This window comes from Homo sapiens, chromosome 18 (genome assembly GCF_000001405.40).
Source record: "Homo sapiens chromosome 18, GRCh38.p14 Primary Assembly".
Classification (NCBI taxonomy): domain Eukaryota; kingdom Metazoa; phylum Chordata; class Mammalia; order Primates; family Hominidae; genus Homo; species Homo sapiens.
The window spans coordinates 70,428,365-70,446,944 of NC_000018.10; the positions used below are offsets into that span (position 1 = coordinate 70,428,365).

Genomic DNA, 18,580 nt, shown 5'->3' on the forward strand with positions numbered 1-18,580 from the left:
CATATAAATAGGGGTGAGTACATCGATTTTGACCATTTCCTGAGTTCCAATTCACATAAGTGCTTGTGGCCAGAGGTAGGTAGATGGAGAAAATATTTTACCCTCTTCAAGAGCTTTAGCCTGAATACTAGCACAGGTGTTTCAGTGGTGTCTGAAAGTCAAAGTGAAACTGTATTGCTTGTGGCTATCTAGTTCCTGAATTATAAAAGAAACTGCTGATCTTCATTGCTGTCTTTTGAATATTTTGTTACTGACAGATCAAATATTCACTAGGCTTTATCAAGTATGCCTGTGTGTGTATTCACATCATTAAACTAATATTTACTGCACACTCCTCTAAGTACTATATGTGTGTTGACTTATTTAATTCTCTCAACAGTCTGTGAGGAAGTCCTTATCATTCTTTATGTTAAGATAAGGACCAGCCTGGCCAACATGGCGAAACCCTGTCTCTACTAAAAATACAAAAAATTAGGCCCAGCGCAGTGGCTCACGCCTGTAATCCCAGCACTTTGGGAGGCCGAGGCGGGCGGATCACCTGACATCAGGAGTTTGAGACCAGCCTGGCCAACGTGGTGAAACCCCGTCTCTATTAAAAACACAAAACAAAATTAACCAGGTATGGTGGCGGGTGCCTGTAATCCCAGCTACTCAGGAGGCTGGGCAGGAGAATCGCCTGAACCCGGGAGGTGGAGGTTGCAGTGAGCCGAGATCACACCACTGCACTCCAGCCTGGGCGACAGAGCGAGACTGTCTAAAAAAAAAAAAAAAAAAAAAAAAAAAAAAAAAAGATAAGGAAAGGGAAGTACCGGGAGGTGATCACACAGTCCTAGTTCCACACTCAACACTGACTGCCACAGCCACTGCTGTACAGGGAGGGCCACTGGCTGGCCTGTCTACACGTGTTCTTCCAGGGAAATGATGCAACTGTCAGACGACATTCAGACCCTGATAGGGTATCATCCACAAACATAACCTGGAGGCACAGTGTACCCGCTTCAGCTTTTGAACTCTGCTTACAGTATTATTGGAGTGGTCAAAATGGGGATGGCTTCTACAACAAAACCTCTAAAAGCAAAGGAACAGGATTTGTCACAACTCCTGGTGTCCTCAGGGACAAATGCACCGTGGTGATGCTGAGGGCTGGAACCCCGGCTGCGCCTGTTCCGCTGCTGCAGTCTCACTTTGTCCCGTCCCTGACTGGGAATGAAACACTTGCCTCCAGCTGGGATGTAAACATTTTGGAGTCTTTCGATATTTGTTCCAATTTAGCCAGTCATCATTGACATTTTCCTGGAAATTTGCACAATATTCTTTCATTTAACACTGGGATGAATTCCAAATGAAGAAGGCTCACTATTCTTGTGTGTTTTTTAAAAAAATTTTGAACCTCTCCCTCCATTTTTAGATGAATAAATGTGAAGAAAGAGACGAAAGAACATAGAATTTAGAAAAATGATGTGGATGTATTAACTATGCCTAAGTTACCAAACCGAGCCTCCTGAAGACTCTACGTTGGTCACACCCATCCATGTCATATTCAGGCAGGGCGGCCGCAAGTGGATGCCGGCGTGCTTCTGACTTCGGGTTTTCTCTGAAAGCCATTAAGAACAGGAAACGAAGGATGTTACGTCGTGATGACGAACCTAGAACAGCTTCTAAAACAAACAAGTTACATAGTGATGAGGAACATAGCAGAGCTTCTAAAACAAAGGAAGTTACCTAGTGATGAGGAACATAGAAGAGCTTCTAAAACAAAGGAAGTTACGTAGCGATGAGGAACATAGAAAAGCTTCTAAAACAAAGGATGTTACGTAGTGATGACGAACAAGAACAGCTTCTACGTCTTCTCTGAGAAAACACCAAATGGCGGATAACGCCGGTGCAGCGGGGGCCGGAAGCCCCGGGGGACCCTGGGATGGGGAACTGCGGTGGTTTCCGCTGAGGTTTCCGCAGTGGCATGCGGGCCGGGGTCGCGGCCGTGGATCTGGCCGTGGACCGGGCCAGGGCCGAGGCTGCGGAGCTCGCGGAGTCAAGGCCAAGGATAAGGGGTGGACACCCATTACCAAGCTGGGCCTCCTGGTCAAGGACATGAAGATCAAGTCCCTGGAGGAGACCTATCTCTTCTCCCTGCCCATCAAGGAATCTGAGATCATTGGCTTTTTCCTGGGGGCCTCTCTCAAGGACGAGGTTTTGAAGATTATGCCGGTGCAGAAGCAGACCCGCGCCGGCCAGCGCACCAGGTTCAAGGCATTTGTTGCCATCGGGGACTATAATTGCCACGTCGGTCTGCGTGTTAAGTGCTCCAAAGAGGTGGCCACTGCCATCCGCGGGGCCATTATCCTGGCCAAGCTCTCCATTGTCCCCGTGCGCAGAGGCTACTGGGGGAACAAGATCGGCAAGCCCCACACCGTCCCTTGCAAGGTGACAGGCCACTGCGGCTCTGTGCTGGTCGGCTTCATCCCCACGCCCAGGGGCACTGGCACCGTCTCGGCGCCTGTGCCCAAGAAGCTGCTCATGATGGCTGGTATGGATGTCTGCTACACCTCAGCCAGGGGCTGCACTGCCACCCTGGGCAACTGCGCCAAGGCCATCTTTGACCTTACAGCTCTAAGACCTACAGCTACCTGACCCCCCGACCTTTGGAAGGAGCCTGTATTCACCAAGTCTTCCTATCAGGAATTCACTGACCACACCTGGTCAAGGCCGACCCAGAGTCTCCGTGCAGAGGACCCAGGCTCCAGCTGTGGCTACAACACAGGGTTTTATACACAAAAAATAAAGTGAATTAAGCCTGTGGGGGAAAAAAAGAAAAAAGAACAGCTTCTAAAATAAAGATTGATTATAATAGGCTGGGTGAGACTTCTGACAAATCCAGACATGAGGCAATAGGAATTCTCCCTGAGTTGAGAAATACAGTCCTAACTGTTTATTCAGTCAAGGAGGATTACACAGCAACACGCTAGAAGAAGATTTAAGGATGAAAAGTCCACATGATGAAAGAGGAAGTGTCACCTTGGAGGGTCTGGCATTCAACATTGGATTAAACTGAAGCCCAGGAATTCCTACAAAACATCCCCCCACCTAGTACTAAGTAATCTTCACTATCTGCCTGACAATGGAATGTAGGAATTGTGTCACACCCAGAGGGTGCAGGTGGAGTTTTCTCAGGATGCCGCAGTGCAGGGTCAGTGTGGGATTTAATAATATTTTGAGAATAAGAAGAATCAAGTTGGGAGGTTTTAGGAATAGTGAAGTTACCTCCCATAAAGTCCCTTTCCCAAGATTGCAGATATCATCATGTACTTAACAAAACCCTACTAATCAGAGATATGTATTGTACAAATGAAACCTTGGGTGGACAACAAGAAGTGTGAAAAAAGTTGAACTCAGGTCAGGCACGGTGGTTTACGCCTGTTATCCCAGCACTCTGGGAGGCCAAGGCAGGCAGATCATGAGGACAAGAGATCAAGACCATCTTGGCCAACATGGTGAAACCCTGTCTCTACTAAAAATACAAAAATTAGCCAGACTTGGTGGCGGGTGCCTGTAGACCCGGCTACTTGGGAAGTTGAGGCAGGAGAATTGCTTGAACCCGGGAGGTGGAGGTTGCAGTGAGCCGAGATCGTGCCACTGCACTGCAGTCTGGCAACAGAGCAAGACTCCGTCTTAAAAAAAAAAAAAAAAAAAAAAAGTTGAACTCAATAGAAACCAAAGAAAGGCAATGTTAAGTAATTTTCCACTTGCCAATTTGGCAGAGAGTAAAAAGGAACAATAATGACCAGTATTTGTGAGGGTATCAGGAAATGGCAGCTCATATGGTAAAAGTATAAACTGATGTGATCTGTCATTCATTGCCTTTTCAAAAAGTATAATATATAAATATATATAGCAGTGTTTAAAACTGTAACATTATTTTTATTGCCCAGGAAGTTCAAATAAAAATAAACATCTTCATAGTAAGAAAATGGTACAATGGGCCAGGTACAGTGGCTCATACCTGTAATCCCAGCACTTTGGGAGGCCGAGGTAGGCAGATCACCTGAGGTCAGGAGTTTGAGATTAGCATGGCCAACATGGTGAAACCTCGTCTCTACTAAAAATACAAAAATTAGGCGGGCGTGGTGGCGGGTGCCTCTAATCCCAGCTACTCAGAGGCTGAGGCAGAAACCTGAACAAACATCTTTCATTAAAGGATATTCTTAGGTAAGCACTTAAAACTTTTTAGTATATTACAGGGACATAGTTTTTACTATTCCAACTGTAAAACATTAAGACATGACAGTGGTGATTGTAACTATTTTGTAGGAGCGTTGAAATGATTATGCTTTGTTTCATGAGAAAGCAGAGTGAAAAATTCCACATACCTCTAATTACATAACTTAATAAAGTTATTTATTTTGGTTACACCTATCAATATAATTTTCATGCAGTGCAAGTTATGCCATAGGGATTATGGTTGTCAACTGAAGAATGACAAGGCTTATAAATTTGGAAAGGGTTGCAGCCTGCAGGGTGGCCATCTGACAGGGTGGGAAGCCAGAAACAGACATTTTGAGGGAGGGGCAACAGGAACAGGAATATATGCTGAACGAAGTGGCTGAATATATGTGTTTAATAAGCTACAGGAGAAGTCATGAATCTTTGTGAAAGAGGAAACATGTGCATGAGCAATAAAGCTTCCTGCTTCTCCAAGGGATCCATGTTCAGAAAATGGCCATGTTAGCATGATCGGAGAGTGGAGTGTTTGGCCTTCTGACTTCAAAAGGTGAACCAGAGGACACAAAAATTCCAACTGCACATTCCTTGTAGACTCCATGGTCCGTGGTCTCTTATCAGGCAAAAAGGAGGGGTGGGCAGTGTCAGGTTGGTCAATAGCGGTGGAATCATTTGAAAGACTGGTTTCTGTTTTGCTCTTAGGGAAGAAAGCTTAATGGTGGCCAGCAGGGGAAGGGCACATTGAGGTGTGTCTGACCCCATTCCATCATGGTCAAGAACTCAGTTTCCAAGGTTACTCTGGGGTCCCCTGGACCAAGAGGGGGTCCATTCAGTGAGTTGAGGAGCTTAGCATTTCATTTTTATTTCTCATGGGTTTTTCTGTCAGGCCAATAAAAAACAACAAACACGCATGGAAGAAGTACTGTGGCTGCCTTTTTTTTTTTTTTTTTGAAATGGAGTTTTGCTCTTGTTGTCCAGGCTGGAGTGCAATGGCACAATCTCAGCTCACCACAACCTCTACCTCCCGGGTTCAAGCGATTCTCCTGCCTCTGCCTCCCTAGTAGCTGAGATTACAGGCATGCGCCACCACGCCTGGCTAATTTTGTATTTTTAGTAGAGACGGGGTTTCTCCGTGTTGGTCAGGCTGGTCTTGAGCTCCCTACCTCAGGTGATCTGCCCGCCTCGGCCTCCCAAAGTGCTGGGATTACAGGCCACTGCGCCCAGTCCTGTGGCTGCCTTAAAATATCTGATACTAATATTACCTAGGTATTACAGACTGAACTGTGTCTCCCCCAAATTGATATGTTGAAGTCTTAACCCCCAACTGTGACTATAATTGAAGATAGGGCCTATAAGGAGGTAAATAAGGTTAAATGAGGTCAGAAGGGTGGGGCTCTGGATAGATACAGTATCCTTACACCAAGAGACACTGGAGAGCCCTCTCTCTTTCCCCACAGGCATATAAGAGGCCATGTGAGCCCACAGCGAGAAGGCTGCCATCTGCTGGCCAAGAGAATTGGTCTCGGAATGAAACCACCTTGTGGCCACCTTGATCTTGGACTTCCAGCTTACAGAACTGTGAGAAATACATTTTTGTTGTTTAAGTCACCCTGTCTATGATATTTTGTATGGCAGCCTGAGCTATGATATATGGAATGCCTATTTATTATTTTTTAATATCTATTTCAATCTTATCAGGTAGCTACTTCATTAGCCCAACGTTGCACATTGAGGTTTACGGAACTAACTTGTCCAATGTCACACAGCTGATCACTGGAAGAACCAGGAATTAAAGTCTTCTGATTCTAAATTCTAAATTCGTTTCTTTTCTTTTTCTTTCTTTCTTTTTTTTTTTTTTTTTGAGACAGAATCTTGCTCTGTCACCCAGGCTGGAGTGCAGTGGCGTGATCTCAGCTCACTGCAACCTCCACTGCCAGAGTTCAAATGATTCTCCTGCCTTAGCCTCCCGAGTAGCTGAGATTACAGGTGAGTGCCACCATGCACAGCTAATTTTTATATTTTTAGTAAAGACATGGTTTGGCCATGTTGGCCAGGCTGGTCTCAAACTCCTGACCTCAAGTGATCTGCCCACCTCGGCCTCCCGAAGTGCTGGGATAACAAGCGTGAGCCACCTCACCCTGCCTCTAATTTTAAATTCCATACTATCATGATTACTCAGATTAATTTTTTAAATAATGTGTTACTTTCATCATTGAACCTCATAAATAGTTGTATAACTTTTGGTTTTCCCATCACCTAAAATAAAACAGCACATTACTAAAACTGCTGTAGCTTTACTTTAGCTGTTTATTTTTCAAAACATGAGTAATTATATTTCAGTGGATTGTCTTAATTTTATATGGCTGGGTATAGAAAGAAGAGTAACTCCACTTTAGAGATGGCAGTGGCCAGGAATAATCATGATTCCCATCATTTTTGGCTGGAGAATTTTAAAAGAATATTGAAAAAAAGTAGTGCTTTAGAGGGGACTGTGCTAATGATTCTGCTATTGGCAGGTCACCCCAGGAGAAATAAGTCTCAGCCCATCAATTTGCTGATGCTACTTCTCTGGGAGAGGTGAGGATGTTCTCAAAGAAGGCAAGAGTACTCATTATTGTAAAGATAAAACATGATTTAAAAGACTCATGAGAAAAGTTGTTTTCTAGAAGCACAGCAAACATCACGAGGAAGCCATGTTGCTTATCTGCAGTCTTTGCTTTGATATTTCTGTGTTGGATTAGTCTTTGACATTTGGAAATCAGTTCATCATTATTGGAGCAGTGGTGTTCTTAATAAGAAAAAAAAACATCTAAAGCAAACTAAATGGTGGAGAGGAAAGGCTGTATATGTTAAGAGGTGAGTTAGGAAAGCACGGAGGAACTCTGACTTGGAGCCGATTCAAATAGGACTGAGAGAAGTAGTGGATAATACCATAGATGTTTAATAACAGCTTGCAGACAAGGTTCAACAAGGACCTGTCAAAAGTAACTCTTCCAAATACCATGATAGAGTTAAGGCAGAGGACATCTTTGCATTGTTTCATTATGAAATATTTCTTAATTATAAAAAGTTACAGAGAAAATCAGCCAGGCACAGTGGCTCACACCTGTAATCCCAGCACTTTGAGAGGTCAAGGTGGGTGGATCACCTGAGGTCAGGAGTTCGAGACTAGCCTGGCTAACATGGTGAAACCCTGTCTCTACTAAAAATACAAAAGTTAGCCAGACACGGTGTCAGGCACCTGTAATCCCAGCTACTCGGAGGCTGAGGAAAGAGAATCACTTGAAGCCGGGAGATGGAGGCTGCAGTGAACCGAGATCACACCACTGCACTTCAGCCTGGGCAACAGAGCGAGACTCTGTCACAAAAAAAAAAAAAAAAAAAAAAAGAAAAAGAAAATTTCAGAGAAAATCATGGCCAACAGGTGTGTGTGTGCCCCTCAGCCCTATCAAAGCTCAACATGTTGCTATATTAACTGTAGATTTAAAATGCCATATTTGCTCCAGGATTTAAATGAGAACAAATTACAGAGACACTTACCCCCTCTGTAATACCTTCCTCTCCTGTTACTCTCTCTCTCCTTTCTTTCCCAGGGGAGGGTTTAGTGTTTATTATTTCCATGAGATTTTTTTAAAATGGCTTTTCATTACTTAGGTAAATACCTGTAAATTACCGCCAATATTTGTAGAGGGTTGAATGCTTGTCCTCCCAAAGGGTATGTCCACATCCTGACCCTCTGCAACCTGTGAGTGTGCCCTTATTTGGGAAGTGTCTTGGTGGATATAGAAAAGACATGATCCTCCACCATCCGGTGGACCCTAAATCCAACAAGTGTCCTTACAAGACAGAAAAGAGAAGACCATGTGAAGATGGAGGCAGAGACTGGAGTGATACGGCCACAAGCCGAGGACGTCCTGGAGCCACCGGAAGCTGGAAAGGGCCAGGCAGGAACCCCTAGGGCCTTTGAAGGAGTGCTGCCCTGATGGTCCCTTGGATTCCAACTTCCGGCCTCCAAAAGGGTGAGAGGATACATTTCTGTTGTCAGCTACCCAGTTCATGCTTATTTGTGATGGCAGCCCTAGGAAACTCATGCAGTATTGATTTGCATCTTTCAGACTAATGTAATGGTATGTTACTGTATCAGTCTACAACCTACTTTTTCTCACGGTTTGATATTTATCCATAATGCTACATATAATTTTATTTCATTCCTTTCCTTTGTTCTGTAGTGTTCCACTGCATGACTTTATTTCTAATCAGCTGAGTGACCTTGGGCTTATTTCTGTGTGTCTTCATATCCTAATCTATAAAATGGGGAAAATAATCACTAAAAATAGTGGAAGTATTAAAATTCATAAAAACCTATCTATCTTATAGAGTTCTTTTGAAAGTCAAATAATTTAATATTTTTAACGTTCTTACAATAGAACATTCCTGGCCAGGCGCGGTGGCTCACGCCTGTAATCCCAGCACTTTGGGAGGCCGAGGCGGGTGGATCATGAGGTCAGGAGATCGAGACCATCCTGGCTAACAAGGTGAAACCCCGTCTCTACTAAAAATACAAAAAATTAGCCGGGCGCGGTGGCGGGCGCCTGTAGTCCCAGCTACTCGGGAGGCTGAGGCAGGAGAATGGCGTGAACCCGGGAAGCGGAGCTTGCAGTGAGCCGAGATTGCGCCACTGCAGTCCGCAGTCCGGCCTGGGCGACAGAGCGAGACTCCGTCTCAAAAAAAAAAACACAAAAAAACAAAAACAAAACAAAACAACAAAAAAAAATAGAACATTCCTGAAACATAGTAATTGCCCTGTGTTAATTAAAAAATCTATTTATCTATTTGATTGTTGATGGATTTTTAGGATGGTTATGCTTTGCCATCATCATAAACAACAGAGCTATGAGCTGTATGTATCTTCTGGTCTACATATGCAAGAATTTCTCCGTGGTCTAGGCCTAGAGGTAGAATTTCTGAGTGTTTTGGAATTTCTGAGTATACCTTTAACTTTATGAGATCTTACCCAATTGTTCTCCAGAGTGGTTGTAACCATGGTCTTTCCTCTTGAAATAAATGAAGTTTGTCCATGTCTTTGTCAATGCTTATTGTTATTAGAGTTCGGATTTTTTGCTTCTCTGATGGATACAAAGTGGTTTAATTTCAGTATTCCATTTAACTATTATTTTTCATATTACTAGTGAAATTGAGCATCTTGTCAAATGTTTCTTGACTCTGTTTCCTATCTGTGAACTGTGGGTTTGTACCCCCATCTCTCTTTATATTGGATAGTTTATCTCTTTCTTATTTATGTATCACCCTTTGTGGATTCTGGACACTCTCTTTAAGTATTGCATATATATATATATTTTTTGAGATGGAATCTCACTCTGTTATTGCCCAGGTTAGAGTGTAGTGGTGCAATCTCGGCTCACTGCAACCTCCGCCTCCCAGGTTCAAGTGATTCTCCTGCCTCAGCCTCCCAAGTAGCTGGGATTACAGGCACCCACCACCAGGCCTGGCCTTGCATATATATACATATATATATATTTTTTTTTTGTAGAGATGGGGTTTCACCATGTTGGCCAGGCTTGTCTCAAGCTCCTGACCTTGGATTAGCCCCCTACCTCAGCCTCCCAAAGTGCTGGGATTATAGGCGTGAGCCACCGCACCTGGCCAACGCTTGCCTTTCTTTAAGTATTGCAAATCTTTTGTACCAGTTTGTGCTTTTATTTTCACTTTGTTTGTGGTGTCTTTTGTTTCATGAAAGTTTTAAAAATTTTTTATGTTGTCAAATACACCTTTTTTATCATTTGTTGTTTTAAAGAAATCTTGTTTGAAAAATCATTTTCTACCATAGTCATAAAATCTTGCTCTTATAATTCTTTTAAATGTTTTAATGGATTTGATTTTCATGCCTGGCATTTTAGTAGGCTTTGAATTATTTCTTTATATGATGTAAGTGAGGGATACAATATTTTCCATATGGATGACCAATTTTCTCAGATTTATTGAAAAGACTGGTATGTCTCCAGCCTCTCTGAAACACTGATCTACTTAGTACTGCCTAGTACTGCAACAAACTCCCTCTCCTAATTGACTATGGTTTTGTAATAATCCTTATTATCTAATAGGCAAGATCTTATCCTTCCCCGCCATGTTTTGTCTTTAGAAATGTCTTTGCTCTTCTATATTAAGAATAGACATGTTCAGTTATAAGAAAAACCTTGCTTACAATTTTTAAAATTGGAGTTTCACTGATTTTTTAGTAAAATTCTAATGTATCTATGTGTCTTACCATTGAATAACATGGATTACATCTCTACTATTCACAATCCTTTATTGTGTGTCCTTCAATGATATTTTTAGTTTTTTCTATAAAGGTCTTGTCCACTTTTAAAGAGATTTATTCATTTGAATCTTATAGTTTATGTTATTTCTTTTTCCTCCTTTTTTTCCTATTATAGTTCAGGCTTAGTTATAAAATAATTGTAAGTTTAAAAAATAAGCTTAAAATAAGCTTAATTATAAAATAATTTATTTTGTTATTTATTGATTTTTCATTTTTGCTTTTTTGAGACAGAGTCTTGCTTTGTTGCCCAGGCTAAAATGCAGTGGTGCAATCATGGCTCACTGTAACCTCGATCTCCCAGGCTCCCAAAATCCTCCCACCTCAGCCTCCCGAATAGCCAGGAGTACAGGCATGTACGACCATGCCCAGCTAATTTTTGTATTTTTTATAGAGATGGGGGTCTCGCTATGTTACCCAGGTTGGTCTTGAACTCCTGGGCTCCAGTGTTCCACCTGCCTCGCCTCCCAAAGTGCCAGGATTACAGGTTGAGTCACCGCACCTGGACTATTTGTTTAAAGTAGTTGCTGAACTCTTTGAATTGTTTTGCTTGCATTTTTCATGGTGACACATTTTCTACAAATTAGGAATTTTATAGAAATATTATCTCCAATCTTCTACTTTTTGTACCACTTATTTCTTTTTCTCACTTTAATTGCATTAGTGAGGTTAAGTAGAAATGTTATTAGGTATCCTTCATATGGGGCGTTCTTGCCCCTGAATTAAGTGGGAATGTGAATTAATCTCTTTCGTAGTGACGACTGAATGGGAAGGATCTTTGTACTCTTCCCATCCTTGCACTGTGGTGGTTAGAGATGTAGGAAGATATTGGAGAGACAAATAGAAAACATACCGTGAATAGGGCTTCTGGCAAAATTCCTCTTGGCTCCACCTGAGCTGGTGATCTCAGGCTTCCTGTATAGGACAACACATATTTTTTCATACTCACTAGTTGTTCATTCATTCATGATTTTATAAGATTAATAAATGAGCAGTTTACCTACAAAAAATGGCAGGCAGTGTTCATGAACTTGGAGGGAGGGGAATGACTACAGCCTACCCTGTGGGGAGGGAAGCAGAAGCTCCTGTGTCTCACAGCTGAAGGGAGCTTGGGATGTAACGAGGGATACTTGCTTCTCTCTCCTGGCTTAGTGGCCAGAGGTAGCAGTGTGTAAGTGGTTAAGCTCATGGCAGTTTAGGGTGCTCAAAGCTTCTCCTTTATATTTGAAGCTGAGTTAAACTCAGATAAACTGCACTCTATTGCCTAGGCCAGAGTGCAGTGTTGTGATCATAGCTCACTGCAGCCTCAGACTCCTGGGCTGAAGGAATCCTTTTACCTCAGCCTCCTGAGTAGCTGAGATTACAGGTGCATGACACTACACCTGGCTAATGCTTTATTTTTTGTAGAGACAGGGTCTCACCATGTTGCTTAGGCTGGACTTAAGTGATCCTCCCGTCTCGGCCTCCCAAAGTGCTGGGATTACAGGAGTAAGCCACGGTAAGAAGTAAGCCTTGGATCTTAAATGTAGTTTTAAAAAGCTGAACTCCGTGTACCTTTCCAAACTTCACAAGGAGCATCTTTCAAAATATGCTGATCTAAGTCCCTAATATAATTTGAATATTTACAATAGAAAATTATTCAATTAGGCTACTATAGTCATTTTTCAGGAGAAGTTAGTGATAGTATGATCAATAAAATTTTTGTACAGGATGCAATGTCCTGCTGAATCTATTATGCATTACTGTCTTTCCTTTGAATATGCAAAAAGTAAACAAATAGCATCTCTTTATGTCAGAAATTTAGACGTCCACAAAACCGCGTGGCTTCCTGGGGAGCTCTGCAATTTTTGCTTCATGAATGGGCAGGAGCCCAGCAAGTCCTGCCTCTTTGCTTCTGTCCACACTTAACAGACTGGCACCCTGAGGAGTTATTTAATTTAGAAAAGTGCTCCCAGTACTGCCTTCTACTCTTTATCTTAAATAGGCAAGTCTTCCTCCTAAGAAAAGACATCAGAAAAAGCTCCCTGGTGAAAAGAAAGCTTATCAACCACCGAGTCCCCGGGAGAAGCTGTCTCCTGCCTAATGGTAGGAATTATCTGTCTGAGCTTTCTGCTGTTACTGCAAGGACCCTTGGGCACACTCAAGCTTTCAAGAAGCTGTGCATCCTCTGCCCTGTCATGGGAACCTGATTTGGCTGTTTTGCTGAGTCAAAGCATTGGACACTGCAGTCAGCTCCTTCAAGTCGCTGGCTTTCCCCTTTGGATTGTTTCTTTCATCTTTACCCTCAAAGTCTCATCCATTCTTCAGTCTGTGCTCAAATATACCTTTGTCCTTGAGACCTGGGAAGCCTTCCTGTGTCCCCACTTCTCTCTTCTCACATTTGCTCTGTGTTATCTGTTTATACCTCTTGTTTTCATGGAACAAAGCTTGGGCTTTGGAGGTCAACCTTGGTTCAGATCCTGGCTCTGTGTCTCACTGCATGAAGATTTCTTCATTTTTATGATCCTGTATTTCCTCATTTATAAAATAGAGATAATAATGCCAAATGTCATTAAAAATGACACCATATTTGTGTAAAAAATAAATAAGTATATAAATCGTTTGACATGTTGTCTGTCAAACACTCGACCATATATTGTATTCTTCCTTCTTCCTGTTACAGGTAGTTACATATGAGCAGGGCAGGAGAGGGCTCTCCTTCGCCCCTACCCACTGGGAATGTCAGGCGATGGTTTGGCAATTATCACATTGCTTCTTTAAAAATGATAATTTGGCAGCCAGGGAGAGGCCATTTCCTGATGGTCCACACCTGTTAACATCAAAATGTTAACTGAATGCAGACCCCAGGAAGAAGCTACTGGGCATGCCTGTTAAAAGACAATAATGGCGAAGTACCATGTTCTGGGTGGGGTACACACCATTGGAAAAGGGAAGAGAGCCTCAGATGGGCATGCGCATAAATCCCTAAACACACTGGGGTGTGCTCAAGTCCAAAGGGTGAGGAAAACACTGCGCATGCAGGAAGCCCACCCTAAGGGGAGAATCATGGGAAAGAGGCGAGTCTATAAAGTCCCAGGATCAAGGTTAAAGTGCTGTTTGTTGTTCTATTTTTTTTTTTTTTCCCCTCGAGACTGAGTCTTGCTCTGTCGCCCAAGCTGGAGTGCAGTGGTGCGATCTCGGCTCACTGCAACCTCTGGCTCCTGGGTTCAAGCGATTCTTGTGCCTCAGCCTCCCGAGTAGCTGGGATTACAGGTACATGCCACCACGCCCAGCTAATTTTTGTATTTTTAGTAGAGACAGGGTTTCACCATGTTGGCCGGGCTTGTCTCGAACTTCTGACCTCAGGTGATCTGCCTGCCTCGGCCTCCCGAAGTGCTGGGATTACAGAGATGAACCACCATGCCCAGCCTTTTGTTCTTTTCTCTCTTGGACTTTCAGGGGCTTACTTGGGTCTCTTCCAAGTGAATTTTCCTTTCTTTCCTGTTCTAAAGCCTTTTTATGTTTAAAATTTATTTATTTATTTACTCATTTTATTTTTTATTTATTTTTTCTATTTTCAACAATGTTGCATTTTTATTGGTGACAGTTAATTTGGAATATTATATAATTACAGTCTTGAATTACATAATAAACCACTCTAATAATATAGTGCAGTCATTCAGTCAGAACTTTCCAGAAAACCTGAAATTCATTTCTCATAGATTTCTTTTCAGCATAGTTACTATTCTTAGTCTTCTTGCTTTTTCTTTTTTAAAAAATTCTTATTTCCATAGGTTTTTGGGGAACAGGTGGGATTTAGTTACATGAGTAAGTTTTATAGTGGTGATTTGTGAGATTTTGGTGCATTCATCACCCAAGCAGTATGCACTACACCCAGTTTGTAGTCTTTTATCTCTCGCCCCCTTTCTACCCATCCCCCTGCCCTGGTCTCCAAAGTCCATTGTATCATTCATAAAGCCTTTTTAAATAAACTTCCATTCCTGCTCTGAAAATTGCCTCAGTCTTTTTTTCTGCCTCATGCCCCTCGGCCAGTTTCTTTCTTCTGAGGAGACAAGGGCTGAAGTTGCTGAGGACCTGTATAGATTCGCTGCTGGTAACTTGGGGTAACTTGGTTCTCTGCCACCATTAACCTTACTACTGTTAGAAACAGGTGCTCAGTGCCACAAGGAAAAACCAGCACTTAGAGAATTTCTCAGCAAGGCACATTTATTTCTGCAGAAGGGTGCTGCTCGCATCTGTCCTGACCACAAGAGCACACCGAACAAAGGAAGGAAGGGATTTTTAACCCTAACACAGTTCCTGTCCCTGTGTCATTCCCTTATAGGCTAGGGTTGGACTACACAATCTAAACTGATCCCGGTTGGCTAAGACTTAAACTTTTCTAAATAGGGTAAGTGTGTGATTTGTAAGAGAAGGAGGGGGTAGGAGTGGTCTGTCCATTATAGTAAAAGGCATGTCTGGACATGTCTGGGTATGTCAGGGTGCAACAAGAGTGGGAGGATGGTTTGCAGGCTAGAAACGAGACGACAAGGAGGTTGGGCTTTTCAACAAAGAACAAAAACATTAGACAATTAAACCTTTTGAAGAGGAATTTATCATTCCTAACACTACTATTTCATTTCTGTTTAGTTACTGATTATTTAATAACATTTTGATTCACAGGGGTGTTGGAACCACATCTTATACAACTCTCTATCCCCCAGAACTAAAGATATTTGTTGGGTGTATCAGGCAGTCTGTGAGGAGTTGCTGCATTAAAATAAGTTGGTCAAAAGAGAAACAGAGAAAAAAACAAAAGGCATATAACCAACATTCTATGTCCTCAATTTCTCTCTTCAGTTTAGAAAAGATCAGCAGATGTCCATGTCCTAAATACCAAAGGGCATTTTAGATCAGGACTGTGGCAGACTGGGTCCTAACAGTTCTTGTGGTCCCTGTTACTGGACAAGGTCTCAGAGCCATTGTGACTCCACTCAAAAGCCTTAAAACACTGTGTTTTCTTCCTTTTGCTACACAGGACATTTGTGGGACAATTGGCATAAGATCTACCTGCTAGGTAATAGTAGTATATCAATGCTAACTTCTGATTTTGATGATTGTACTGTGGTTAGTAAGACAGAAATATTTAGGAATAGGAAAGCATTATTATGTCTGCAACTTACTCCTCAGCTGTTCAGAAAAAGACCCATTAAGATACAGAGAGAATGATGGAGCAAACATGATACAATGTCAATATTTAGGAATCCAGTTGAAGTTTGTATGGGTATTCATGGTACTTTTTTTGCAACTTTTCTGTAAGTCTGAAATTATCTCAAAATAAATATGTTTTTTTGTAAACTGTTTGAGATCACGCTTGCATCTTCTCTGACTTGTAGCCAGATGGAGGAGTTACCAGACCAATTTATAGTCCTCTTTCCCTTCTCTGTAAATTAAGACGTATGCTTGCATACATGTCACAGCCTGGGAAATGACACCAATTACCTAATGGGGTAAGCCTGATGGAGAGCTTTTGGGACAGTCAGAGCTGCAAGGTTAGAGGCATTTCTGATGCTTATCTGCAACTGGAAGCCTCACACTCCCCAACTCTGCATTCATTAATGAGATGTTAGCCCAGAGTTTCCCTCTCCCACAGAGATCAGGAATAAGTACAGATGTTGCTTGACCAATAATGTCTGACATGGGTGCCTACTATACTACAGAGCCAGGAGACATGCCACTGACAAAGAAGGCTTTATTGACACCCTTTCTTTCTTTTTTTTTTTTTGCTTTTTGAGGTGGAGTCTCGCTCTGTCGCCCAGGCTGGAGTGCCGCGGTGCAATCTTGGCTCACTGCAACCTCTGCCTCCCAGGTTCAAATGATTCTCCTGTCTCAGCCTCCCAAGTAGCAGACACCACAGGTGCGTGCCACCATGCCTGGCTAATTTTTTGCATTTTTATTAGAGACAGGGTTTCACTGTTTTAGCCAGGATGGTCTTGATCTCCTGACCTCGTGATCTGCCCACCTTGGTCTCCCAAAGTGTTGGGATTACAGGTGTGAGCCACCGCACCTGGCCTGACACACTTTTGTGTTTTTTTTTTTTTTTTTTTTTTTTTTTTGAGATGGAGTTTTGTTCTTGTTGCCCAGGCTGGAGTGCAATGGCGTGATATTGGCTCACCGCGACCTTCACCTCCCGGGTTCAAGTGATTCTTCTGCCTCAGCCTACCTAGTAGCTATGATTACAGCATGCGCCACCATGCCTGGCTATTTTTATATTTTTAGTAGAGATGGGATTTCTCCATGTTGGTCAAGCTGGTCTCGAACACCTAACCTCAGGTGATCCACCTGCCTTGGCCTCCTAAAGTGCTAGGATTATAGGTGTGAGCCACTGCGCCCGGCCCACACTTTGTTAACAGACCTGCATAGTGGTCAGAATTTTTTAACTCCATAACAAAGTTGTCGTTGAGTAGAAGAAGAAGGGGAAAAGAATACCAGTATAGATTTATCACATGTTTATGAAAACTGAAAGATAAATATTGGAACAGTTCTTTGTATGTAAGGGCTAAATTATATGCTTAATTGTAAATAAAACAGGTTTTCCCATAATTTTTCTTATGATGTTACTGGCCTGTCAGATTTCTCTCCCACAGCAAATCAGGGACAAATCCCACATCTGCAAGGGTAGGTTTGTCAGAGGCATGTGAACCAGAGCAAGTCCATCGTGAATAGGAGCTGGGTAAAATGATGCTGAGACCTACCAGCCTGCATTCCCAGATGGTTAAGGTATTCTAAGTCACAGGATGAGATAGAAGGTTGGCACAAGGTACAGGTCATAAAGACCTTGCTGATAAAACACGTTGCAGTAAAGAAGCCGGACAAAACCCACCAAAACCAAGATGGCCACGAGAGTGACCTCTGGTCGTCCTCACTGCTACACTCCCACCAGCACCATGAGAGTTTACAAATGCCATGGCAACGTCAGGAAGTTACCCTATATGGTCTAAAAAGGGGAGACATGAATAATCCACCCCTTGTTTAGCATATCATCAAAAATAACTATAAAAATGGGCAACCAGCAGCCTTTAGGGCTGCTCTGTCTATGGAGTAGCCATTCTTTATTCCTCGACTTTCTTAATAAACTTGCTTTCACTTTACTCTATGGACTCACCCTGGATTCCTTCTTGAGAGAGATCCAAGAACCCTCTCTTGGGGTCTGGATTGAGACCCCTTTCCTAACAGGGTCACAGCCTAAACTCATGTTGGGGTCACACTAGAACTCAAGCATTTCTGCCAGGCCCAGGGAGCAGCCCTTTCTAAGGAGCAGCTCCTGACAATAGGGAGGAGCAGACGGAGCCAAACGAGGCAAGACAGAAACGCCCCAGGTGTCAGCTGTCCCTCAGCCCTTCTCACCCTCTTAGCCTCAGATCTTCTCCCTCTGTCTACACACTCATCCTTCACATGAGGTTTTCAAGTCTGGGGACTAAAAACAGATACAGCTAATTTTATAAAAATCTTGGAGAGGCACTGGGAGTGTAAAGAAGCACTTTTGGGAAACCAACACAGAAGTGAAGCCTAGACGGGGAGGTGTGTGTGGCGGAGGGGGTGGGAGATTCTCTCCACGTCACTGCGTAACACAGGATGTCGCAGCGCTGTGTGCACCCAGGGGCCAGCACGCAGATCTCAGTGACCTTAGGGCCAGTGCAGTGCAGTGGCTTTGGCTCCAAGCGAGGACTCCGTGCCCTGCAGCACTGGCACTGGGATCTTAACTGGCATGGATGGGTGATGGCGCTAGTGACAGCCAGGAGCGCTCACACACAGCAGAGGCATTGGAAGGGGGCAGAGATACAGAAGTTGCCACACTGGTAGATGGGAATGTGTTTTTGATTACCTTTGAGATGCCTTCTGGAGAGAGTTCCAGTTTTAGGGGGGAAGCAGAGATACAGAGGTACTATAGTAGTGAGTGACAGGTGAAGCAGAGAAGCACAATCTATATATGGCACAGCTTTTTTTTTTTAATCCATAGAGAGGTATAGATTAATTGATATCATT

At 42.9% G+C, this 18,580-nt stretch overlaps 1 pseudogene, besides 1 other annotated feature; it reads left to right on the plus strand.

Annotated features, from left to right (window-relative positions):
• RPS2P6 (ribosomal protein S2 pseudogene 6) lies at positions 1,846–2,798 on the plus strand (annotated as a pseudogene).
• Positions 1,927–2,096: an enhancer, noted in NCBI's record as "experimental_49413 CRE fragment used in MPRA reporter constructs". NCBI's record gives its function as "activates a minimal promoter by MPRAs in K562 erythroleukemia cells, with activity observed for the introgressed 18:68097612 variant allele {active_cell/tissue: K562}" and the evidence as "EXISTENCE:reporter gene assay evidence [ECO:0000049][PMID:34662402]".